Source organism: Homo sapiens, chromosome 4 (genome assembly GCF_000001405.40).
Source record: "Homo sapiens chromosome 4, GRCh38.p14 Primary Assembly".
Classification (NCBI taxonomy): domain Eukaryota; kingdom Metazoa; phylum Chordata; class Mammalia; order Primates; family Hominidae; genus Homo; species Homo sapiens.
Window position 1 is genome coordinate 144,683,511 of NC_000004.12, and position 21,868 is coordinate 144,705,378.

The 21,868-nt window shown below is 35.6% G+C and overlaps 1 protein-coding gene and 1 long non-coding RNA gene across 4 annotated transcripts in view; one reads left to right on the plus strand and one right to left on the minus strand.

Annotated features, from left to right (window-relative positions):
* Positions 1–21,868, plus strand: part of HHIP (hedgehog interacting protein) — a 99,116-nt gene that overhangs the window by 37,355 nt on the left and 39,893 nt on the right. The gene's annotated exons all lie outside the window — the stretch shown is intronic.
* The window catches only part of LOC124900791 (uncharacterized), a 67,320-nt gene continuing 51,082 nt past the window's right edge, over positions 5,631–21,868 (minus strand). Inside the window, exon 2 of the long non-coding RNA XR_007058289.1 lies at positions 5,631–21,450. This is a non-coding gene — a long non-coding RNA (uncharacterized LOC124900791). The remainder of the gene's footprint in view (positions 21,451–21,868) is intronic.

The following is a 21,868-nucleotide window of genomic DNA, read 5'->3' on the forward strand; positions in this document are numbered from 1 at the left end:
ATTTAATTGCATTTAAAACTTACGATAAATTATAGTATACCAACTGCTTCCACATATGTGGATATTATTTAGCTTTTAGGCCAGAGTAAAGTGTACTTAAGACATACTATATGGTAATGACTTAGATTCAGGCTTGACAATCTACGGATTGAATCTCGCCTGTAGCCTGTTTTTGTAAATAAAGTTTTATGGGAACACAACCACATCATTTGTTTATGTATTCTCTGTGGCTACTTTTGTGCTACAACAGCGAGGTTTGAGTAGTTGCCAGAGAGATTCCATGGCCCACAAAGCCTTACGTATTTAATATTATATCTGGCTCTTTAAGAAAAACGTTTGCTGGCCCGCGATTTGGATGGTCAATTAGTGATTCTGAGCACACTCCTCCCTGAGAAGTTGTGTTGCCTTAAATTTTTGAAGACCTCCTGTAGTCTCTCAGCTACTTGGGAGGCTGAGGCAGGAGAATTGCTTGAACCCAGGAGGCAGAGGTTGCAGTGAGCTGAGATTGCACCACTGCACTCCAGCCTGAGCGACAGAGTGAGACTCCGTCTAAAAAAAAAAGAAAAGAAAGAAAGAATTAGGCCAGTCGCAGTGACTCACGCCTGTAATCTCAGCATTTTGTGAGGCCAAGGTGGGCGGATCACCTGAGGTCAGGAGTTCGAGACCATCCTGGCCAACATGACAAAACCCGTCTCTATGAAAAATACAAAAAAAAAAAAGAATTTTTTTTTTTTTTTTTTTTTTTTTTTTTTTTTTTTTTTTTTTTGAGACGGAGTCTCGCTTTGTCACCCAGGCTGGAGTGCAGTGGCGCGATCTCGGCTCACTGCAAGCTCTGCCTCCCGGGTTCACGCCATTCTCCTGCCTCAGCCTCCAGAGTAGCTGGGACTACAGGCGCTCGCCACCACGCCCGGCTATTTTTTTTATTTTTATTTTTTATTTTTTGTATTTTTAGTAGAAACGTGGTTTCACCGTGTTAGCTAAGATGGTCTCAATCTCCCGACCTCGTGATCCGCCCGCCTCGGCCTCCCAAAGTGCTGAGATTACAGGCGTGAGCCACCGCGCCCGGCCAAAAGAAAATCTTTGAAGACACTAGAATAACATTTGTACAAGGATATTTTAACAAAATTAGGGATATTCTAAAAAGTTTAGCATATTTATCTAAATACACATTATAGTCCTATTTGAGATTATGGTTTATATTTCCTAGGGCTTTGAATTTTTTAGGACATCATTATAAGGAGCCATTTTTTATTTCCATATACCAGACTAGTGAAAAGAAAGTGGCATTGTTGCTTCTGATTGTATTCTGTAACTTTCAACTCTAAATGACTTGTGTAGGATTTCCACCACTAATTGGTCTGCCTGGGTCTTGTACACATATTTCAAATCCTAACTTCATTATCTTGGCCCCCTGCATATACTGATACTCTCTACCATTATCAATGGAACAATTTCCATGTACTTTACAACTGCAACCTTTTGCACTATACAAGATAGCCCAAGAACAGCCTTCATGAATTGCATCATAACTGTAGCACTGCTCAACTTACACTGACATTCCCCGTCCATGTGGGCCATAAGCTCCTGGAGAAGAGGGATCATACCAATATCATTTTCCTGCGTGTCAGCCTTGGGCAGTGTTTGCTATTCAAAACTGAAATTTTTATCTAGAAGTGTACTTTTAGAATTTTCTCCTCTGTTCAAGCTCAGTAGTTGAAGTATATATTAAAGTAAGGGTGTCCATTTAATTTGTCACCAAATTGAGACAATTCTGAGAGTTAAAGATGAGTCTCTGAATAGTTGTACTAGGACATAGACCAGAACTATGTTCAGAAAACCAGGACATACAGTCACCTTAATATTTGGAGATTTTTAAATTACAAAATTTCCTTAACTATACTATGTGTGATATTAAATAGTTGTACATCATAAAGTAGACATTAAAATGACTTTTATAATAGCAACAAATGACCAAAAACAAAAACATTTGAAAAATTGTGGAATTTCAGTTAACTTGGAGTTAGTATCTTATGCCTGATAGAAGCAACATGATGGCCAAGCCTCCTTTTCTTGCTCTTGTACTTTCACAGGACCTTCTCATCCTTTTCATCATCAAGAAAATCACGTGGCTGTCACTATAGACAACAAACAACTACCAATAAAAGAAAAAAAAATAGAAGAAGGAAGGCGGCTCCTCTAGGATTGTGTCAGGATTAGAAAATAATGTCTTGCACCAGCCATCTTGTTCCATTTCTTTCCTATTTAATTATTGCTCTTTTTATTAAAAAGCATAATCAGGCATGCATTGATCTTACAATAAGCTTTGCTTATAGTAAAACTGAAGCACATTTTAAATTATGCAGTTCACTATATTAAGCCAGGACTTTCCAGTCCACCCAAAGTTTCCCGTAAAGTTCTGTTTGACCTTTGTATAAAGACCACCTTCACTAGGTGACTTATTTTTGCTGCCCTCTTGGGTGGTCGAATGAGGCAAATTTCCCTGTTGAACAACATACAGCCTTCTTTTTTGCCAACTGAACATTACACTGGGATGTGGCTTGGAGGCACAGTTTCTCAATACTATAAACAACTGCTTTCTTGGAACAGCTTGTTGCTGAAGCATAAAGAGAGGTTACTCTTGGTTTAGCCTTGAGTAGCATATGAATTGGTTAAGGAAGTAAGTGTGGCTCACCCACCAAATTACAGTGGCCATAATATAATTAAGTTCGGTATCCTCCCTAGAGGCTCTAAGAAGTATTATTATGACACCAAACTTAAAGAAGAGGGATTTTTTTTTTAAGAGCCAGGAAATTCATGAGAAGCAGTCTTTGGGGAAAATGCTGCAAAGATTTTAAAAACTCCGTAGAAATATCTAAAAGTTGTTCAAGAAAAAAGGCTGGGTTAAAATACAGTAGTTAGTTATCGATGATCCTGAGTACTATTAAATCAGTATCTCTCACAAGAGTAGGGTGCCTTGGGATTAAAGATGGTATTGAAATTGGGATGGAGAACAAAAGGGAAGATTAAAGATACATTAGAAATATTAATAGTAAAACAAAGGAAAAATAGGAAATGTTACTAAAAGAAATTATGGGAAAGGCAATTGCTCTCTGCTTATCCAAATTGTAATTAAAACATAAAATTTCTAAAAACAACTTAGACTTTTAAGTTAAAGACTTAATTCAGACTATTAAAAGATTATTAAAGACCTACACGTCTCTAAGTGGAAAGAAGGAGAAGAGAGAATGAGAATGTAGAGCCATTTGCTGGCTCAGCTTAAGGCCACAGCTTTCTTAGCAATGCAGCTTGTACAGTTGTCAGAGCTTTCTGGTAGAACCCTAGTCTGGGTGCAACAGTCACAGAGACAAATATGAAAATAGGAACATGTATGAAAACTTAAACCCTTAAAAAGAAAGACGCTTAGCCTCTATTTATTTCCAAATAATTGCTGTTCAAGGCATTGCTCTTTATCTCTTGGGCCCCATGACAGAGTGGCTTAAAATAAATCATCAAGTCTTCAGGGCAAGTGTGATTTATTTTTTGGTCATATACTGCTGCTTTGTCATTCTATGTAATTATTATATTCAGCCAGTCTGCTTATCATTGGTTACAGCTTCATAATGTCACAAATAATCCTGCTTATGTTTATCTGTCTAGGTGTCAGCCATCCATGCCATAAATCCTATAACAACCTAATAATATTCTCTTCATGTGTTTTGTGCAGAAGCTACATTGCAATAAGTATGGCTTTCACATAAATAGAGAGTTTTGGAGTACAGGAGTGACTCGGGGAAAAGTGTGATTCCACAGATGGTGCTACTCAGACAAATCAAAGGGCTGAATGTAGTATCTGGCAAATCCATCTTTAATGCAGCCATTCCTCTACATGGCTTTGGTTTAGAGTATACATTAATGCATTAACTCTAGGCTAGTACAGAGCTTAATGATGCATCCCTGCTTAATTTCTACCAATTTCACAGAGGATATTTTTGTCTCCTGCAAGTAGGAATCAAGAAAGTTTACTAGATGTGCTCATAGTGTAGTGAGCCTTATGTGGGAAAAGGAAAACCAACACCTTTGAATTCTTTCATTCTGTGTGGAGTTGCCCTAAATTAAGCTGATGCTTCAGTGTCTTCATCCCTTACACAATCAGTTGCATCACTCCTCCACCACAGAGCCATAAAACTCACTGGTCTAGTCAGTGCTTTAGATGTTTCAGGTGCCTAATAACTTTTGGCAACTTTTTTTTTTTTTTTTTTTTTTTTTTTTGCTATTGGCCTATAGGTCATCTCAGCATTATCAAAACTAAGTTTGATAACTTACATTCTATTTGCATACGGCTTTTAACTTGTTAGGAATGGAAATCCACCTTTTTGAAGTTCCACTGTGTTACAGAGTCTTTACAAGTTCCAATCTTGTAAACTAGGTATGATTATCCCTTTTTATGGATAAGGAAACTCATGTTCAGAAACTTAAGTAATCTTCTCAATGATATATATCTAGCAACTGGTCGAACCAGGATTCAAATTTTATGTCTAATAATTGTGAACAAAATCCATCAAATAACCATCCAAAACCCAGCCTGTGAACGCATTTAAAGAAATTTTGCTCTAGAATCAGCACTGATTTTCAACTCTGCTGTCTTCTGTGAACATTGCATAATAAACTAACACTAAGTCAAACACAGACCATGTTCCCACCCAAGTCAGCCTTGGTTCCCAAGCACAAGTCGCTTTCAGAATAGCTTGTTGTTGAAGCAGGAAAAAAAAAATTGTGCTTGATTTGGCCTTGAGTAGCAATGTGAATTATAAAGGAAGTTAAGCATGGCTTGCTAGAAGAGTCCCAGCGGTGCTGGTGCTTCTATAGAATTAATTGGAGAGTCTTTTTTTTTTTGAAGTCCCAGGCAGCCAATGAGTGAAAATGCATAATTTATGCAAGTGTTGGGGAAAAGGCACACCTGTGCCAAGATAAGATTTTCCTATCTTGGATGAGTGGGAAGTTTAATTTTTCTGCAAAAATAAATTGGAAGCCTAAATATTAGAACTTATGGGGAAGAGTTATGCCTTCTAATGTATTTAAATAAACGTGAGGTTCTTTTGTTCCTTTTCCCAGTCTATTTTATCCTTTAAAAGACACAAGTCACGGGGAGCATGTTAAATGTCAAAGAAACTATGTAAACTGGTAGATGTTAATTAACTCTGCCAGACAAAACAGTTGCAGGATTGGATAAATGAGGAAATCCATCATCTAAGAAGTTATATGCAAGAACGGAAGGGATGAGAAGTCATTCTCATACACAAAACTTCTCAATTCTCCTGTGTCTGGATGAAGGCCATAGACATTTTATGAATTTAAAGTGGGAGCACCAAAAATGTCATTGGAGTGCTTATTTCTTCAAGCTTGGTGTGTTATAAATGTCATCTAGGGACGATGCCATACCAGTAGGAAGATATCATTTACAGCGTGTTCTAGACACTGAAACCATTTCAGTCACAGATAAATATCTTCCCAAGGGTTTGGTTTGCAAAAAGAAAAAAAGAATCTTTCTATCAATTGCTGGATTAGGTCATACAATTCTTTCAATCTATAGCAATTAAACTATACCTGCACACATGTGATTTACAAGACAGTTTGATTTCAGAGAGCTTTTATTAATGTATTTTATTTCATTCAGAGTGTGTTCTTTATAACAAACAGGAAATCTCACTAACTCTAATCCAAAGTTTGAGCAATGGAAAGGCACATAGATGATGTCGTACATTATAAATATTTTTTGTACTTGCTAGTTTATTTCTAAGGAAATTATGAGAATGACATCATAATGATGACTGACTTTTATTAGTGTTTTTGCTCTGAAGATCTAGACAAGTAGTTACAAAGAAAAACAAATTGTCTAGTGTTACCGCTTAATACTTTGCCTGATGTTTTCTAGTGACATTAATCTTGGGAAGTGATTCCAGGACTTCTATGCTACCATGAGTTCTCTTTTACATATTTATCATCAAAAAGAACATGGTGGTAAAGTACAACATTTTTAAAAACTCAAAACAGGAAATAATTACTTTTGATTTTTGCCTGGAGCACTGCTTGGATTAGTCTACAACTTGAAAAACAATTTTAGACCAATATTTTATAGACCATTATTTGTTACTATCAGAGGAAGGTTTAACATAACTGTTTATTATACATTTTAGCAAGATGCTTCTTTTTTCTACTAATATCAAATAGAAATTGTTAACATTCTGTTTTTAACTGAAGCCTTACTCTAATATCTTTTCTAGGTAAATTATTTTATTTTATTTTATTTTATTTTTTTGAGACGGAGTCTCGCCCTGTCGCCCAGGCTGGAATGCAATGGTGTGATCTCAGCTCACTGCAACCTCCACCTCCTGGCTTTAAGCAATTCTCCTGCCTCAGCCTCCCAAGTAGCTGGGATTACAGGCATGCACCATCACGCCCAGCTAATTTTTGTATTTTTATAGAGACAGGGTTTCACTATGTTGGCCAGGCTGGTCTCAAACTCGTGACCTCACCTGATCCATCCACCTTGGCCTCCCAAAGTACTGGGATTACAGGCGGGTAAACCATTTTAAATGACTTATTTGATATTGGTATGTTTTGAAAGAGAAGATAATTGTGTAAAGATAGATGAAATTCATGAAATTGAGGTATAGGTCTTAGAGTCTACTATTAACCCACACACTGAATATTTGAATACCTAGAGTTATCAGTCATTGAGCTAAGTGCTGAGGTGCAATCAAAGAATAATAAAACTTGATTTCCATCTAAGATTTCTTCTGTATGGGGTAGGGAGACTGGTAGGTATAATCAACACAAAGTGATATGATGGTAGTATGGTGTCCTAGCAATACCTGGAAAGTACTAGGATGAAAAGAAAAAGACATGCTTGCTAAACTCTGGAGTCAAGGAGGACTTTGCAGAAGTGCTGGAGCTGGTCTTAAACGATCAACAAGTTATTCCATAGAAACTAGATGGGAACGATCTTCAAAGCAGAGGGAACAAACAAATGCAAATGCATCAGGATATGAAAGCCAAGAGAGCATCAGAGTTGACCATAGCTGGAAAGACACGAACATGAGATGGAATGACAGAGCGGAGACTGGAAAGAGAGGTTAAGACCATATTGTAAAGTGTCTCATGGCCCCTGATAAATTATTTGGGCCTATTTTATAGGTGATAAGAGTAAAAAAGTTTTGCTTTGTTGTTATTTTGAAGAGGCAAAGTAAAATGACCAGATTTGTTTGTTACAAATCTATGTGAAGAATGGACCAGTGTCTTATCATTAGCATGGCCAACAGAAACAAAAAACTCTTACAGTCAAAGAAGAAAAATGAACTGTCCTTCATGCTGTCCATGATTTTTTTTTAACCTCCATTTAGATTTATATCAGGCAATTCAAAGAAAACAGCTTTATCTGTGTTTTAACCAGCTCAGCAGCAGGGGATGCCAAAGTCACTCCAGCATTAATAAGGGCAGTTCTAACTTAGGCCATATTCCTACTTCAAGACTGTTTCGAAATGCTGTGTAATATTACACAAAATAATATTTCATGGTATATTGAGGGGCTCCCAGACAATCTTACATGCATCTCTGATATCTACCATTTATTAAAATTGAAAGATTGCCAACTTTCCAATAGAAAAAAAACAAAACTTCCTTTATCGTTTTCACAGTGATAAAATATAGACCACCAGATATCTGGATTTCTAATATAAACATCAATATGGCCTTATATTTTGCTTATAAGTATAAACAAACTTCAAGGTTTATTATATCATGCATACTAATTTTGATAGGCAATTTCACATTTGAGTCCCTGATTCCTGCTGTCTAGGCTTATATGTGTGACATAAAGACAATATTTTTGCATCTGGCAATATTTAAGAAAGAGAAGAGCAAGGCAATTGGTTGATGTTGCTGACATTTGTGTCCATAATTAGGCTGATGGATTGCTGCTTCAGGAGTTTTGCTTTTTTAACCATTTGATGATTCTTGAAATATCTATGTAGTTTTTGCTAATGTGCTTGTATTTCTATTTTCTTTTTTTAATAATCACATATAGTACATATAAATACAAACAGTGCCTCCATTTATATACTTAAATGTCTATGTATAGGATTTTTTTACATAAGGAAGGAGATGCCTTTTTAAATTAATTTTTAAATTTGATTTCAATAACTCCAGCCACCCAGTAAAACATGTAGCTTTACTTCAAAAGCTGCAAATGAAAAGTCTAAGTACCATCAGCAATGCCTCCTCCAAAGCCCTCACTCTAAAGTCACTTGTCACACATTCTATCAAATAAGGGAGAAAAAAACAAACACTATATCCAATTATAGTTTTCCACCTGAAACTACCAAAATAGAAAAAAAAAATTTTCCTATTAAAATGGAAAAAGTCTAAGTGCTCAGGTAGAATCATTGAATTATCATTTTTGCTAGAGTTGACCTTATGCATTTCAAGGCTGGCACCATCATGTACAGGAACAATATGCTCATTGCTCCTCCCACCCATCCCCACCATGATGAAGAAAAGAGCTGATTAGTGAACAACTAATAAATATGTGCCATCTGGGTACTAGTAACTTTAAATTTTTATTTAATGTATTTTTCATTTTTTAAGAAAATACCTTGTGAAGTAGAAGTTATCATGCCTTTACAATAAAAAAAAAGCTGAAGCTCAGGGGTGTTAAATTATTTCCCCCAAGTCAAACAGCCTGGAAGTCACATAAGCGAAGATTCAAACCCAACTGTCATGTAATAGAGCCCACATTCTCTCCACCGTATTTACGTGTGCCCTCAGATACCGAAAATTCTCCACAACCAGCAAGAATAGGAGGTACACATATTTCTGTACTCTTCTCTTCCATTTCTCTTTTTCCCGAAGAATCATACTCATTACAGATAAAGTATCTCTCTGGGAGATGCTGTTCTTTCTTTACCTGGAACCTTCTTCCCTTTCTGGCTCCTTCTCATCCTTGAAGTCTCAACCTGAATTTTTAGACAGGTCTTCCCTCTTTAGAGAGGTCTTTGCTAACGCCCTAGTCTGAATTAGATTCCCCCTGAATTCTTTCCCGTAACACCCTATTCTTGTCTTTTATAGCCCTCTCCAAAGTTGAAATACGTATTTATGTATAGCGTTACTTGTGTAAAGTCTCTCCCCAGCTAGAATACAATAGCCCAGGCTGTGGTATATTTTAACAATGGCTAAATTTTCTTGAGCACCAATAGTGTGTCAGGGGTCATCCTTCTATCTTTCCATGCAACAACTCACCAGGTAGGAAATGCGTGTATTTTGAAAGTGGTAAAACCGAGACACAGAGAGGCTAAGGTAACTCTCCCAAAGTTAGAAAGCCATCAAGAGGAGCCAAGTTGCAAAGCAAGGTAGTCTGGATCCCTGAGCCCATACTCTTAAACACCATGCTATGAATGAATAGGAATCTGACACATGAGGACATGGAAGCAACTGGCATACCACATCTGCCCCTTAATGACTGAGTGATGTGCTGGAATCTGAGAGCAAGAGCTGTGGAGTGAGTGAGGATAAATGTTCATAACGTTATAGGTGTTGAAGAGAGTGGGTGCTGGCAGTGAGGAAAGTGGAACCACTATAAACACTTCATTTGCCCTACAATTTAGAATCAGGAACTAATCTCTGCATAGTGATTCTGGGAATTGGAATGGGACTCCTTAATTTTCCATCAGTTTTTTTTTTCAAACTGCTACCTGGGTCAAATTATGAACATACTAGAACACTGGTTAGTCTTTCACTGTTTGGCTCTTCCCTTAGTTGACTAACAACACAGTCTCAAGCAATTTTAACATCAGAAGTTCCCTCAAATTCTGTCCTTTGATCCAAAATTGTATTAATCATAGATATTTAAATTTTCCATTATATTAAAAATTATAAGGAACAGAGCTTTTATTCATTGAAATCTATCCTATTGGAGAAACTCCCATGGAAAACGTGAACAGCTGGACACTGTCCTCCTTAAAATAAATCCTCATGTATTTAAATAAGGTTATTTGTACTCCTCAGAGTTTTTTCTTTTGTGACTTTAAGAAATTCAAGCCCTCCCTTTAGACTTTCTTTATAAATCCTATTCTAATTTTATAATCACTTTTCTATCTTTAATCTGAACTTCATCCAGATTAAACTTTTTTAGATATGTATAATGTATAGTTCACACATTTATTCTATCTGAATGGAGTAGACCATAATTTCTTTCCTATAGAAAACATGGAATTACAAAATTTTACATTTTAAATTGTCACATAATTTAATACTAAAGATGCATTTGGTCAGAAATATATATTATTAGTTTTTATTCAGAATTAATACAAAGATATAAGATATCAAATATCAAAAAGATTTTCTTAATTTAGATATCTGAGCCATAGCAAATGTTTATTTGCTAAATGTTGATTTGTAGCTAATGATATTTTGGAATAAGAATAATTTTTCATATTAAAAATGAATGTTTAGATTGTTCATATTGTAGTGTTTTAATGTTTCTGTGTTGTTAGAATTCTGCATTTGATCATTTTGTAAAATAGTACTTAATAAAAATATCAAAGATTCAAAGAATTTGATTCTGCTACTTGGTAAATTGCAAGTTTAATTGACATATAAATCATGAAAATACAAACTCTACTTAGAAAATAATTTTTAAAGTACCGTAATTGTTATATGACCTTGAAGTTCCAGCAATCTATTGCATAACTCTTCAAGAGAAGTCACATGGAGGAAACCTCATATTTCCTTAAATTTATTAGTGTTCCTTGGTGGTCTAAACTATTGGGGTTTTTTTTTTCAAGGTTTCTTTTCAAAGCAATAATCTTACTTAATTGCTTAATGTTTTCTCTTATATAAGTCAATTTGAGTTCTTATTTAGAGTAACAATAGAAATACATAATGGCTAAGAGTAGTGAAACATGACTAGGAAACTCAAGTATACCAGTGTTATATTTCTATATAATGACGTGAAGATAATGCTTTTAGCTGCATGACCAGCATATTAGCCACACATCGTAAAAACCAAACTTCATAAAAGCAAGAGGTCAAATTCATTAAAAACAATTTTGTACCCTTTGCTACAGTTAAGCATTTATCTTTAATATTGTGATTTCTTTCTTCTATTGAAAAGGCCCTGAATCTCCCATTTCCTGACAGGAGAAAAAAAAATTAAAGTAAAAAGGTATAAATCACATGAAACTATCAAGAAAACTTACTTTATATTCCTGGGTTTAATGTTTAAAATCAAATGGTAAGACTTTATGCCTCAGAGATTTTAGCTTTAAAGATGGTGAATGAAATAATAAGTCCATTTTATTTCATTTGTTTTCAACATAAAAATCTAATATTCCAGTAATTCCATAAAATTAACTTTTGTTTTTATAAAAGTTAATGGTTCTTATGTTTGTAAGATTATCACTAATAAAATATGAAAATGCATTTGTCTTTATTATAGACCAAGTCATTCTAAAAAAGACATTTCTTAGCCATTAAGTAAAATAAATTATAAGGGGGTCTGAAAAAGTTAATGGGTTTTCTAAATTGTCTTCCTTATTCCAAAGGAAATACTTGCTTTTCTAACAAGATTTGCTTGATATTTGTCAGTTTAATTTTTTTTTAACTATTCATGATTTAAGAATGGCCCTAAGAGTGAAATCCATGAGACACTGAGAGAAGAAAGAATTGAACCTCTCCAAACATAAATAGTATTTCCTTTATTCTGTGGCATCATCTAGTCTTTGGGGATATGTATGTCTTTAATGGATATGCATGCTCTCATACACTCCTTGAATAATCTTATATTCGTCCTTAGTTTATAATTGAATATCCAAATTTAAATCTAAATTTGGTATCTTTTTTGTTCTTATAAATATGTGTCATATTAGTCAATAGGGCTCTGAAGTAATTTTCACAGCTAATTGCTACTATCAAAAATACACATTTTTCTATCATAAATCTTGGTGGTGCATTTTCACATTGGGTTTGTTTTTGGAGGGGAGGAAATATTGTAATTTGCCATCGGTATTACTGAAGAACACACAAATGTCGGGGTCTATTTCTTTCACCCCTTATATTTGTCTACTAAATAAATTTCTTTATGTTTAACTTTAGAGGATAAATTTTATATATTTTAATGAAAAAACGATATTTCTACAATAGCAAAGTTATGGGTGTTTCAATTTTAGAACAAAAATTTAGATTACATCAAGCCTTACAAATCATTCATTAATAAACCAGCCACTGGTAACACATGCCACGTAAATCTCCTGAAAAGATATCCACAAATCTTTATCAAAAGTATGTGGTGAGCCTGGTGCTAAATATAAGTATAAATGTGCATGTCCATGCCTGCAATTTTCTGAAGTCCAAAAGTTCTTTGGATGGCAAGCAGCAAGTTAATACTTCTTCTACATAACGTGCACGCATTCCTCATCTGATCAAAATGTAGGACTTCACATTCTCTACTTCAAAATTACATTCCCTACTTGAGAAGCTTCTTATGTTATAGAACAACTGAATGTGAGAAGAGTTCTTCCCTCTCTGTGCACTATAATAGTTATATCTTCAATTTGAATAGCACTTTAGAGCTCATTAAGTAATTTTACATTCATCATCTTCTTGGATTATCTGAGCAACCTTATGTGATAGATTTAAGATATTTACCAAGAAGTTTTCCTTTGCCTCAGTGAGTGTATTTACACCACATAAATTTACACAAATCTGCACCTCTTTTTTTTTTCCCAAACAGGCCATTTACTGGCACAACACTACCTTAAAACCTAAATTAACCTTTGTGTTAAAATAATTGAGGTACACACTTCAGTATATCCCACATAAGTTAAAATGACTAAATCATTTAATTTAAAGTAATATATATGAGTTAAAGTAACTGAGGGATGAGCTTCATTTTATTCCCTTGTAGAACTTCAGAAACCCAAGTTACTTAAGACTGTTTCAAAACTGCCTCAGTTCATGAACAATGGGTGCTGATAAGAGAATACAGTCTCTTCTTTTTTTGTTCATTTCTTCATTTAGGAAGTACTTGGTAGGGCACTGTAACATAATAGTTCCCATTGTGTGTCTTCCAATCACAATCTCTGCTTTGCTACTTCTATTTAAGCATTTGGGGCAAGTTACTCAATTCCTCTATGCCTCTTGTTTCCTTACATGGAAAGTAAAGATAATAAAACAGTATTAAACTCTAGAGTTGCTATAAAGTTTAAACAGAATATTGCTTGAAAATCACTCAGCACAGTCTCTGTCACGCAGTAAGAACTCAGTACATCCTATTTGTACTATAACAAGGAGGTAGAGTCAGTACCTCCACTGTCAATGAGGTACTATGTAAGACATCAGAAATACCACGATGTGGTCTCTGCCTTCAAGAAGCTTACAGTCTATTGGAGACTTGCTCCTAATTTACATATCTAACATTTTGTTGTGTCTAACAAAGTAGTTAGCTTAATATTTTACCCTTTTACAGTTCAGTCTAGAATTTTTTTTAAATTTTTTGTTCAACAAGTCTTAAGCCTATGGTTCATAATAGTTTTGTGAGGTTACAAAGCTTTTTCTAATTGTAATTTTTATTCATTTTTATTCCCAAGAATATTCTTATAGTTTTGTTAAACCATCATTAATTTATTTTCATTTAGCCTCAGTGCACAGAATAAAAGCTTTGCTTTCTCCAAGTGTTACCAATGTTTCTATAATTTTTTTCTCTAAAAAATTGTTTATTGCTAGGATTTTCCTTTTGAGAAGGGATTTTTATGCTTTTTGGAGGCTTATTGTTTTATTACTTTATTATTTCAAATAGATATTTCACACAGTTTAATTTTATTAGAGCATTTTGTCTCATTGAGAAGATATTTTAGAAAGTGGAACTTTGGAATAGATATTATAGCATCTGATGCGTATTGAGCCAGATAGTCCCTTGTGTTTAAGTCATTCTCTGATATTATATTGGATTCCTTGGGCACATATATTAAAGTTTCCACAGCTGTCAACTGCTGCCTGAGCAAGATAAAAGGTACAAGTCAATCCAATCTCTAATATGCCGTAATGTATCACATGCCACAGTTCAAATGCTTTAAAAGCCTGGGGAGGAAATAGTAATATGAACATAATAAATTAAATTCCACTTGACAAATATAAATTTTATATAAAATAAATCATATATACATAACATTGTGACTCTAATAGTTATAAGTATATAACTGAGTATGTATATATACATTTTTCCTCATAGATGGAAATGTCAAAAGATCATTCATATATGGAATAAGAAGGAGCTATGAAACTAGAAATTCTAGAAAATAGCCACTTCCAATACGTCCAATATCCTCACTCTGAGTAGGCTGTAACTTAAACCTAGTATTACTGATTTATTTTGTTTTTTGAAGAGAGTAGAAAAGAGAATTATTGTGACTTACAGGTAGATGATTTCCGTGTGGAATCTCTTTTATTCTTCCATTTGCACTTTTCTAATTTGTCTGCATCTGCTACCTTCAAAAGATAAAATGCTTGAAAATCCTAAACATAGATTTGACACGGACCAATCGCTACATACCAGAGATTATATACCCCATGAGACACTTCCTAAAATTCTGAATTGCTGGTTATCTTCTAGCAGCTCTCCAATGTTATCTGAAGCAGGACAGATTTCTTTGTCAGGTGTGATGGAGTGTGATGAAGATGAGCTTGTGTCCCAACAGCATTTGAAAATTGTATATGCAGTTATGCACTGCATAAAGACATTTGAGTCAACAACGGACCACATATACAATGGTGGTCCCATAAGATTATAACACCATATTTTTACAGTACCTTTTCTATGTTTACATGCACAGATGCTGACCATTGTATTAAGTTGCCTACAATAGTCAGTAAAGTAACATGCTACACAGCTTTGCAGCCTAGGAGCAACGGGCCATACCACATAGCCTAGATGTGTAGTAGGCTCTACCATCTCAGAAGGTATCCCCATTGTTAAGCTATTCATGACTGTACCTTCTTGGAGGACTGAAACAGTGAGTAAACACGATTAAGGAGAAGAGAAAAGTTGAGCATCAGCATTCCGTTAATTGGACTAAGTTTAAAGGAAAACCAAATCTGGAAAAGTAGAGGAAATTTTAATGAAAAGGGAGAATTCCTATTAGAATTGATACGTCCTTCGTTTATTGTGGCTGGTTTCATCCTCAGGGAATAGTGCAGGTCAGAAAAGCCAAAAGAGTGGATTACAAAATGAAACAAGATATTTTATGTCTTTTCCCAAACTTAAGTTTAGTAGAAAAAACAAGTCAAGTTCAAGAGTAAGAATTTTATGAACGAAAAGAAAACTACCAAATTATTAGAAGTATTCTCAAATAGACTTGATCACGATCTCCATTTCCCTAGAAAAGAGAATGGGCTAAGTAACCTTTCAGGTTCTTTCTGGGATATTTTCTGACACCAAATGAGAGGTTTACTCTCACACCCACCAGTCCTCCCACACCAATTGTGCGTCCAACAATTTGATTTAGTTCAATTCAATTCTGAAACTATCTGGACTTAGCTCAGACCTCACAGGTTAAGGGCTCAGCCCCATAAGACTGCTCCTACTTCAAATACCAACCACAAATGGGATGCCCATGCTACCACATTTCTGCCGAGCAGGCTACAAATTTGGGGGTTCTCATAATTCGCCTTCAGCCTTGGTAATTCACTAGAATGACTCATAGAACACAGGAAAGCACTTTTATTTACTATTACTGGTTTACTATGAAGGATACGACTCAGGAACAGCCAAATGGAAGAGAGGCATAAAACAAGATATTGGAAGGGGGTGCTGTACAGAGCTCCCCTGCCCTCTCTGGGTGTGCCACTCTCTGTGAACCCTATTGTTTAGGGTCTTAAGGAGGTTTCATTACACAGACATGATTGATTGAATTACTGGCCATTGGTGATTGAACCCAACCTCCAACCTCTCTTGCTCCCTGGGGTTGTGGGGTAGGCTGAAAGTTCCAATTCTCTAATCACATGGTGGGTTCCTCTGGCTGCAAGCCCCCATCTTGAAGTTATCTAAAAGCCCACCAAAGTCAGCTTAGTAGTATAAAATCAGGTGTGATTAAAGCGGCTCCTTACAAATGAAAAAAAAATGCACTCCTATCACTCAGGAAATTCCAAGAGTTTTAGAGGCTTTGTGCCAAGAACTGGAGACAAAGAACAAACTTTTTTTTTTTTAATATATCACAGAAACAAATCATGCAGTCCTTCCCATAAGTTAACCCAGGGACCTCAGGGGATTGACTCCTGTTCTGAGACCAATTTAGACTTTTGGAACTATTGAAAAGCGATGCTTCTTATCTTTTCCAAGAGTTGTGAAGAAATCAGTGCTCTGCAATGTGTTTCACAGCTTATACACACAGCAAAATAACACAGTTTTAATCAACTTAAAATGCAAAGATTGTCCTCCAGTTAGTAGAAATGGTTTATATATATTTAATTTTACCTTCTCTGTATCTTGGAATCTCGTTTGACTAACTTGGGAGTTTTGATCTGAACTTAATTCATACGTGAAAGTTTCACATGTCCACATTTTATCAAATGGTCTTCTCTCTCCTTCTGCTCAATTCTGAAGGATAGTTTCACTTCGTTTTGAAGAATGTTGGTTATTCTTCCAATACTGACAGCTATGAGAAAGAGCTTGTTGTAACAGAGTGTACCTTAAGTATCTCCTTGTGAACTTATATATGAACTTCACTGGTCTCCTCTTTCAGTGCTCACAGGAGGGCATGGCCATGAAGACACAAGTCAGAAATGCTTGGGATCCTTTTTCAGAAACCGATTAAAATATTCATGTGGTAGGCAGAATAATGCCCCTCCCCAAATGATGTCCTTGTCCTTTCCCTAGAACTTGTGAATGTGTTACCTTATATGGCAAAGGGGAATTAAGGTTGCAATGGAATTAAGATTGCTAAACAGCACATAGGGAGATTATCCTGGATCATCTGGGTGGGCTCAGTGTAATCACAAGTTCTTAAAAGTGGAAGAGGAAGACAAAGGAGGTCAGAGTGATGTGATATGAGAAGGATTCAATCCACCATTGCTGGCTTTGAAGATGGAAGAAAGAAGACACAAACTGAGAAATGCAGATGGCTTCCATAATTGGAAAATGAAAGAAAATGGATTATCTTCTAGCACCTCTAGAAAGAAACTTAGCTCTGCCAACATTTATTATAACCTGTGAGACCCATGTTGAACTCTAATCTACAAATTAAGATAAAAAATTTATGTTATTTCAAGCCACAAAGTTTGTGGTAAATTTTCATAGCAGCAATAGAAAATGAATACAATCTGGTACTGTGTTTGAACTAACAGTTCTCAAACAAACCTGTTTTGCCATTTCTGATCAGCAAATAGTTCCAGTCTAAGAGAAAGCATAGATTTGCATGAGAGGGTCCCATTTTAGTCCCAAGTCCTCTTTTTCCTCTTTTTCCTTTCATGATGTGTATCAGCAAAACATAGGCAAGAAAATGACAGTTAATAAAAGAAATGTGAAAGCCTGCCTTATAGCAAAAGTATATATCTTATAGGGAATTCAAAATACCACCACTCTATTCTTATATTAATTCTTAAAAATTCCTTGAGCATTAAGAGAGCAACAATTTTACCAGAGAGCTTCATTCATACCTGTGTGCTTGTGTCATGTACATAAAATAAATTACCAGATGGTCTTACTGTTTGTAGAAACTCCGCTTACTTCTTCATGTAAGTTTTTATGTAATTAAGCTGTTTTTTTCTTTTTTTTTTTTTAGCAAGTTTTAGAGTGGAGAAAGCTCAGGTGCCAATATATAAATTAATCTTTGTGTCAGAAGTTACCAAAAGTATTTATTTCTTATCTTTAATACTTGTTTTTTGACCATGCACATTTCTAACAGTGTAGCATTGTTCATCCTCCTCAAAAATCTCCAAGTATGATGGGAATGAAACAACTCAAAATTCAAAACTATACTTTGTTATGTGCTTCCATATACAAACTCATTGAGAGGAGGAATTTATTCTTATTGATTGTTTATCCCTAAGCACCAACACATTATATCCAACACATAATGGGTATTCAATAAGTATTTGTGGAATAAGTGTAAAATTAAAAAAAGAAATAGTTGGCAGTAACAACTAATGTCTTGAACATAGTGTCACATTATTTAGTTTATGTTTCATGGCTTTCATAATATCATAGGGTCATGTTGTGGATGACTGAACTTGAAGTCAGCCACTTACCAAAAGGTCACTAAGAAAAATTATGTTTCCTAAAATGTACAAGTCAGTATTTCCTGAAGGACATTAGGGCAAATTTAAAGCAAAAACAGAAACCAGAAAAAAACTAACTGTAACCACATTAAAGTATGAAGAGAATGTTGTCTTTTAAATGTCACAATGAAAGATGTTGTCCTATAATGTCTGTTAAAAAAGAAAAAATAGGGCTGAGTGTGGTGGCTCATGCCTGTAATACCCACACTGTCAGAAACCAAGGCAAGAGGATCACTTGAGCCCAGAAGTTCAAGGCTGCAGTGAGCCATGATTGTGACACTGCACTCCAGCCAGGGTGATAGAGTGAAACCATGTATAAAAAAAGAAAAGAAAAAAATAATACTTTCTGTTATAATCATTTTATGATTATCTCTTCTTTCAAATGGATACTTAATTATTCAAAGAAGAGGAATATTCTTAATTGGTTAGAACTTGGATCTGTTCACCAGGGAAGAATTTATCCCAAAGCTGCAACACTAGGTCTGATCTTGTATTTACATTAAAGTATCAGTACTCTTCATTTTGGGGTTGTCTATTTTCTGTGGACCCTGTGAAATTGCTTTTAAGAGCTGACTGATAACTAGAATGGCAGATAGTTAAACACTTATTAAAAGCGCCTGAAGAGGGTTTTATTATTTCCTCTGAAACAACTTAGTCTACAGGTTCCAAATTGCGGGAACATTATTTTCAAATCATTCAACACTCCAAATTTGAGCAGTCATTTGTGCTTGCTGTCCAGTAGGGCTGTCCAGAAGTTGATGTAGCATTGAAGAGCTGAGCAAAGGGGAAGAGGGGGTCTTGTGGCAGCCTATGAAGCTTGGATGAGGTTCAAGTCAGTAAGTTGTTTTTTTTTTTTTAAAGCATTACCAAACTGAGGAAATCCTAAATTCTTGTTTGTAAATTACTTGTTGCCCTTTTAGCTTTCAGTTTGGTTCTAGCAATGCTGTCTGTGCATTCCCAGAAGCACAATATACAAAGTGCTCAGTGCTAATAATGAAGTACAATTATAATGTGAATATTTAGACAAATCACTGCTTTTCACATGGGTAAGAATAAACATTTTGGACATTGGTTAACAGTTTTTAAAAGTATAATGTTAGGGCTAGGCACAGTGGCTCACGCCTGTAATCCCAGCACTTTGGGAGGCCGAGGAGGGCGGATCACCTGAGGTCAGGAGTTCAAGACCAGCCTGGCCAACATGGTGAAACCCTGTCTCTGCTAAAATTCAAAATTAGCTGGGCATGGTGCAAGTGCCTGTAATCCCAAGTACCCGGGAGGCTGAGGCAGGAGAATCACTTGAACCCAGGAGACGGAGATTGCAGTGAGCCGAGATTGCGCCACTGCACTCCAGCCTGGGCAAAAAGAATGAAACTCCATCTCAAAAAAAAAAAAGGGATAATGTTAGAAATCAGTGTCTTTTTGAAAGGCAAGACTGCCTGAATCACGACTCTTCCATTTGCCATTCTATTAATATGTTTTTCTCCCTTTTTAGCCAGCTTGGCTCAACTAATCACTAGAAGCTCAAGAATAAAATAAAAACTCCCCAGATGCTCCCTAGACTCAGTTCAATAATTGACATTTCTGGAAGGAGTGTATGATTTTGATTCCATATTCTCTGAGCCATAAAACCACACATAATGAAGGGGTAGGATGAGAAGGGGTTAGAAGGAGAGCAGTTAGTAACATTGGCACCAGGGCTTTGTTTTTTTCTACTGAGCCTCTAAAGCTGGGTTATCGGATTTGGAAATAGAGTGAAGAGAAGGGAGTCTTTGGGCTAGGGGATCAGACCAACAGAATGGGGCTTTGAACACACACAGTCAGAGCTGGGACAAAGGGGACTAAGATAATAGAAGGAAGTACAGGAGGCTGGGAGGTCTGGTCTGCTGGCCAGTCCCGGCTCCAGGCACCAACGTCCAGGCTCTCGGGCTAGGACGGTGTCCTGGTGAAGACTACAGCTGAAGCAACCTTAAATATCTGGTGGTGTTTCTGATGGTGTGGCCTCTAACTGACCCTGGTCTAAAATTAACCCTTCAGTGCCCAATCAACATATTTCTTCATAAGACCTTGAAAAATGACCCAGACCTTAGAGATAGGTTTGCATTTGAGAGTTAAATCATAATTTGTCAGTAATATATTTTAATTAAGTAGACAACATAATTCTGAAGTCTAATTCAAGTGAAATGTGAGCTCTCAATACATTAATCTCCTGGCACACTGTGGCACACCAGGAGTATATCTATCTGTCCTTTCTAATTTCTGAATATTTAGGAATCCTGTTATATAATTTTAAAATCTAGATTCAAGAAAATCTAGGATATTTATATAATACATTAAATTGTTTTCATCAGTGTAGTTATGAAAGTGAGTATTTCTCTGAAATGACTTAAGAGTAGTCAAATTTCTAAACTACTTTGCACCTGGAAGTTGACCCAAAAATGAGATCATATGTAATGATTAATCAATTGTAAATCCTATTACCTGAAAATGTCAGAATTACTGACTTTTTTTAAATTGCTTTTTTGATTTATTTCTCTGTCATTCACATGTCTCATTCTGTTTCCATATTTGGCACTTTAGTAAATGTCAAAAATGCCCCCAAAGTCATTTATGTGATAGATGGTATCTCTAAAGTGAACAATTGTCTTCTATCACTTGTGGATTTGTTTAAATCTCTTTTCCCATCTGTCTTTCTACAGTGCCTTAATTCTACATTCTTAATTCCTGAGAAGCAACCAGCACAGTTCTGAAGCATGTTGCTATCCAATTCAAATTGTATTTCTGATGATTTGATTAAAAACTACAAAGAACTACTTTCAACAAAAGCTGCTTATGGTGGAACACAAACATTTGTGAAGCAGGCATGCAGTACTTAACCTGCACTCACAGCTTTAGGGGGAAATATATTTGAGGGAGGAATTAATCACAAACGAAATCCCACCCTCGGGCCTCGTTAGACAATCCGTCAAGGAGGTTCAAATGTGCAGTGGCTTCTCTACAGTCAAATTGTACTTACATATCCTAGCTTCCAGTGTCTCAGAAGAAAGCCAAAAGATTTTTATTTAATGAAGATTTAAGCAGAAAAACAGCACCATCGAGTCAATATTAAAATCACCAGAACAAGATAATCTGAAAAACAGAGAGTCATTCATATATCGGTCATTAGAGTTTTACCTTTATGATTAAAATTAAAATTATGCATATTGTGATGTGGAGGAAAGTTGACTTTTTGACATTTAAATAATGACTTGGTCGTTCTGTGTATTTGCAGCCATTTTAATATTTGTATGTTCTGAAAGTTTGGATATTCTACTTTGGGTGATCTATACCTAAAAACAGTTTTCTCTAAGCCAGGAAACAAATCGATGTTTATTAAAAGTAAACTTTTCTGCCTAAACCTTTCAATTCTGAACTCCATGTAAAATAAGAACTACAAACAGTTCTATGCTTTGCTAGTAACATATACTATTGTGTGGGGGACAAAAACATGAGAGTGCTTCCATGACTGAACATGACCTTGTGAAGAGGTTGCAGTATTAGAGATTTT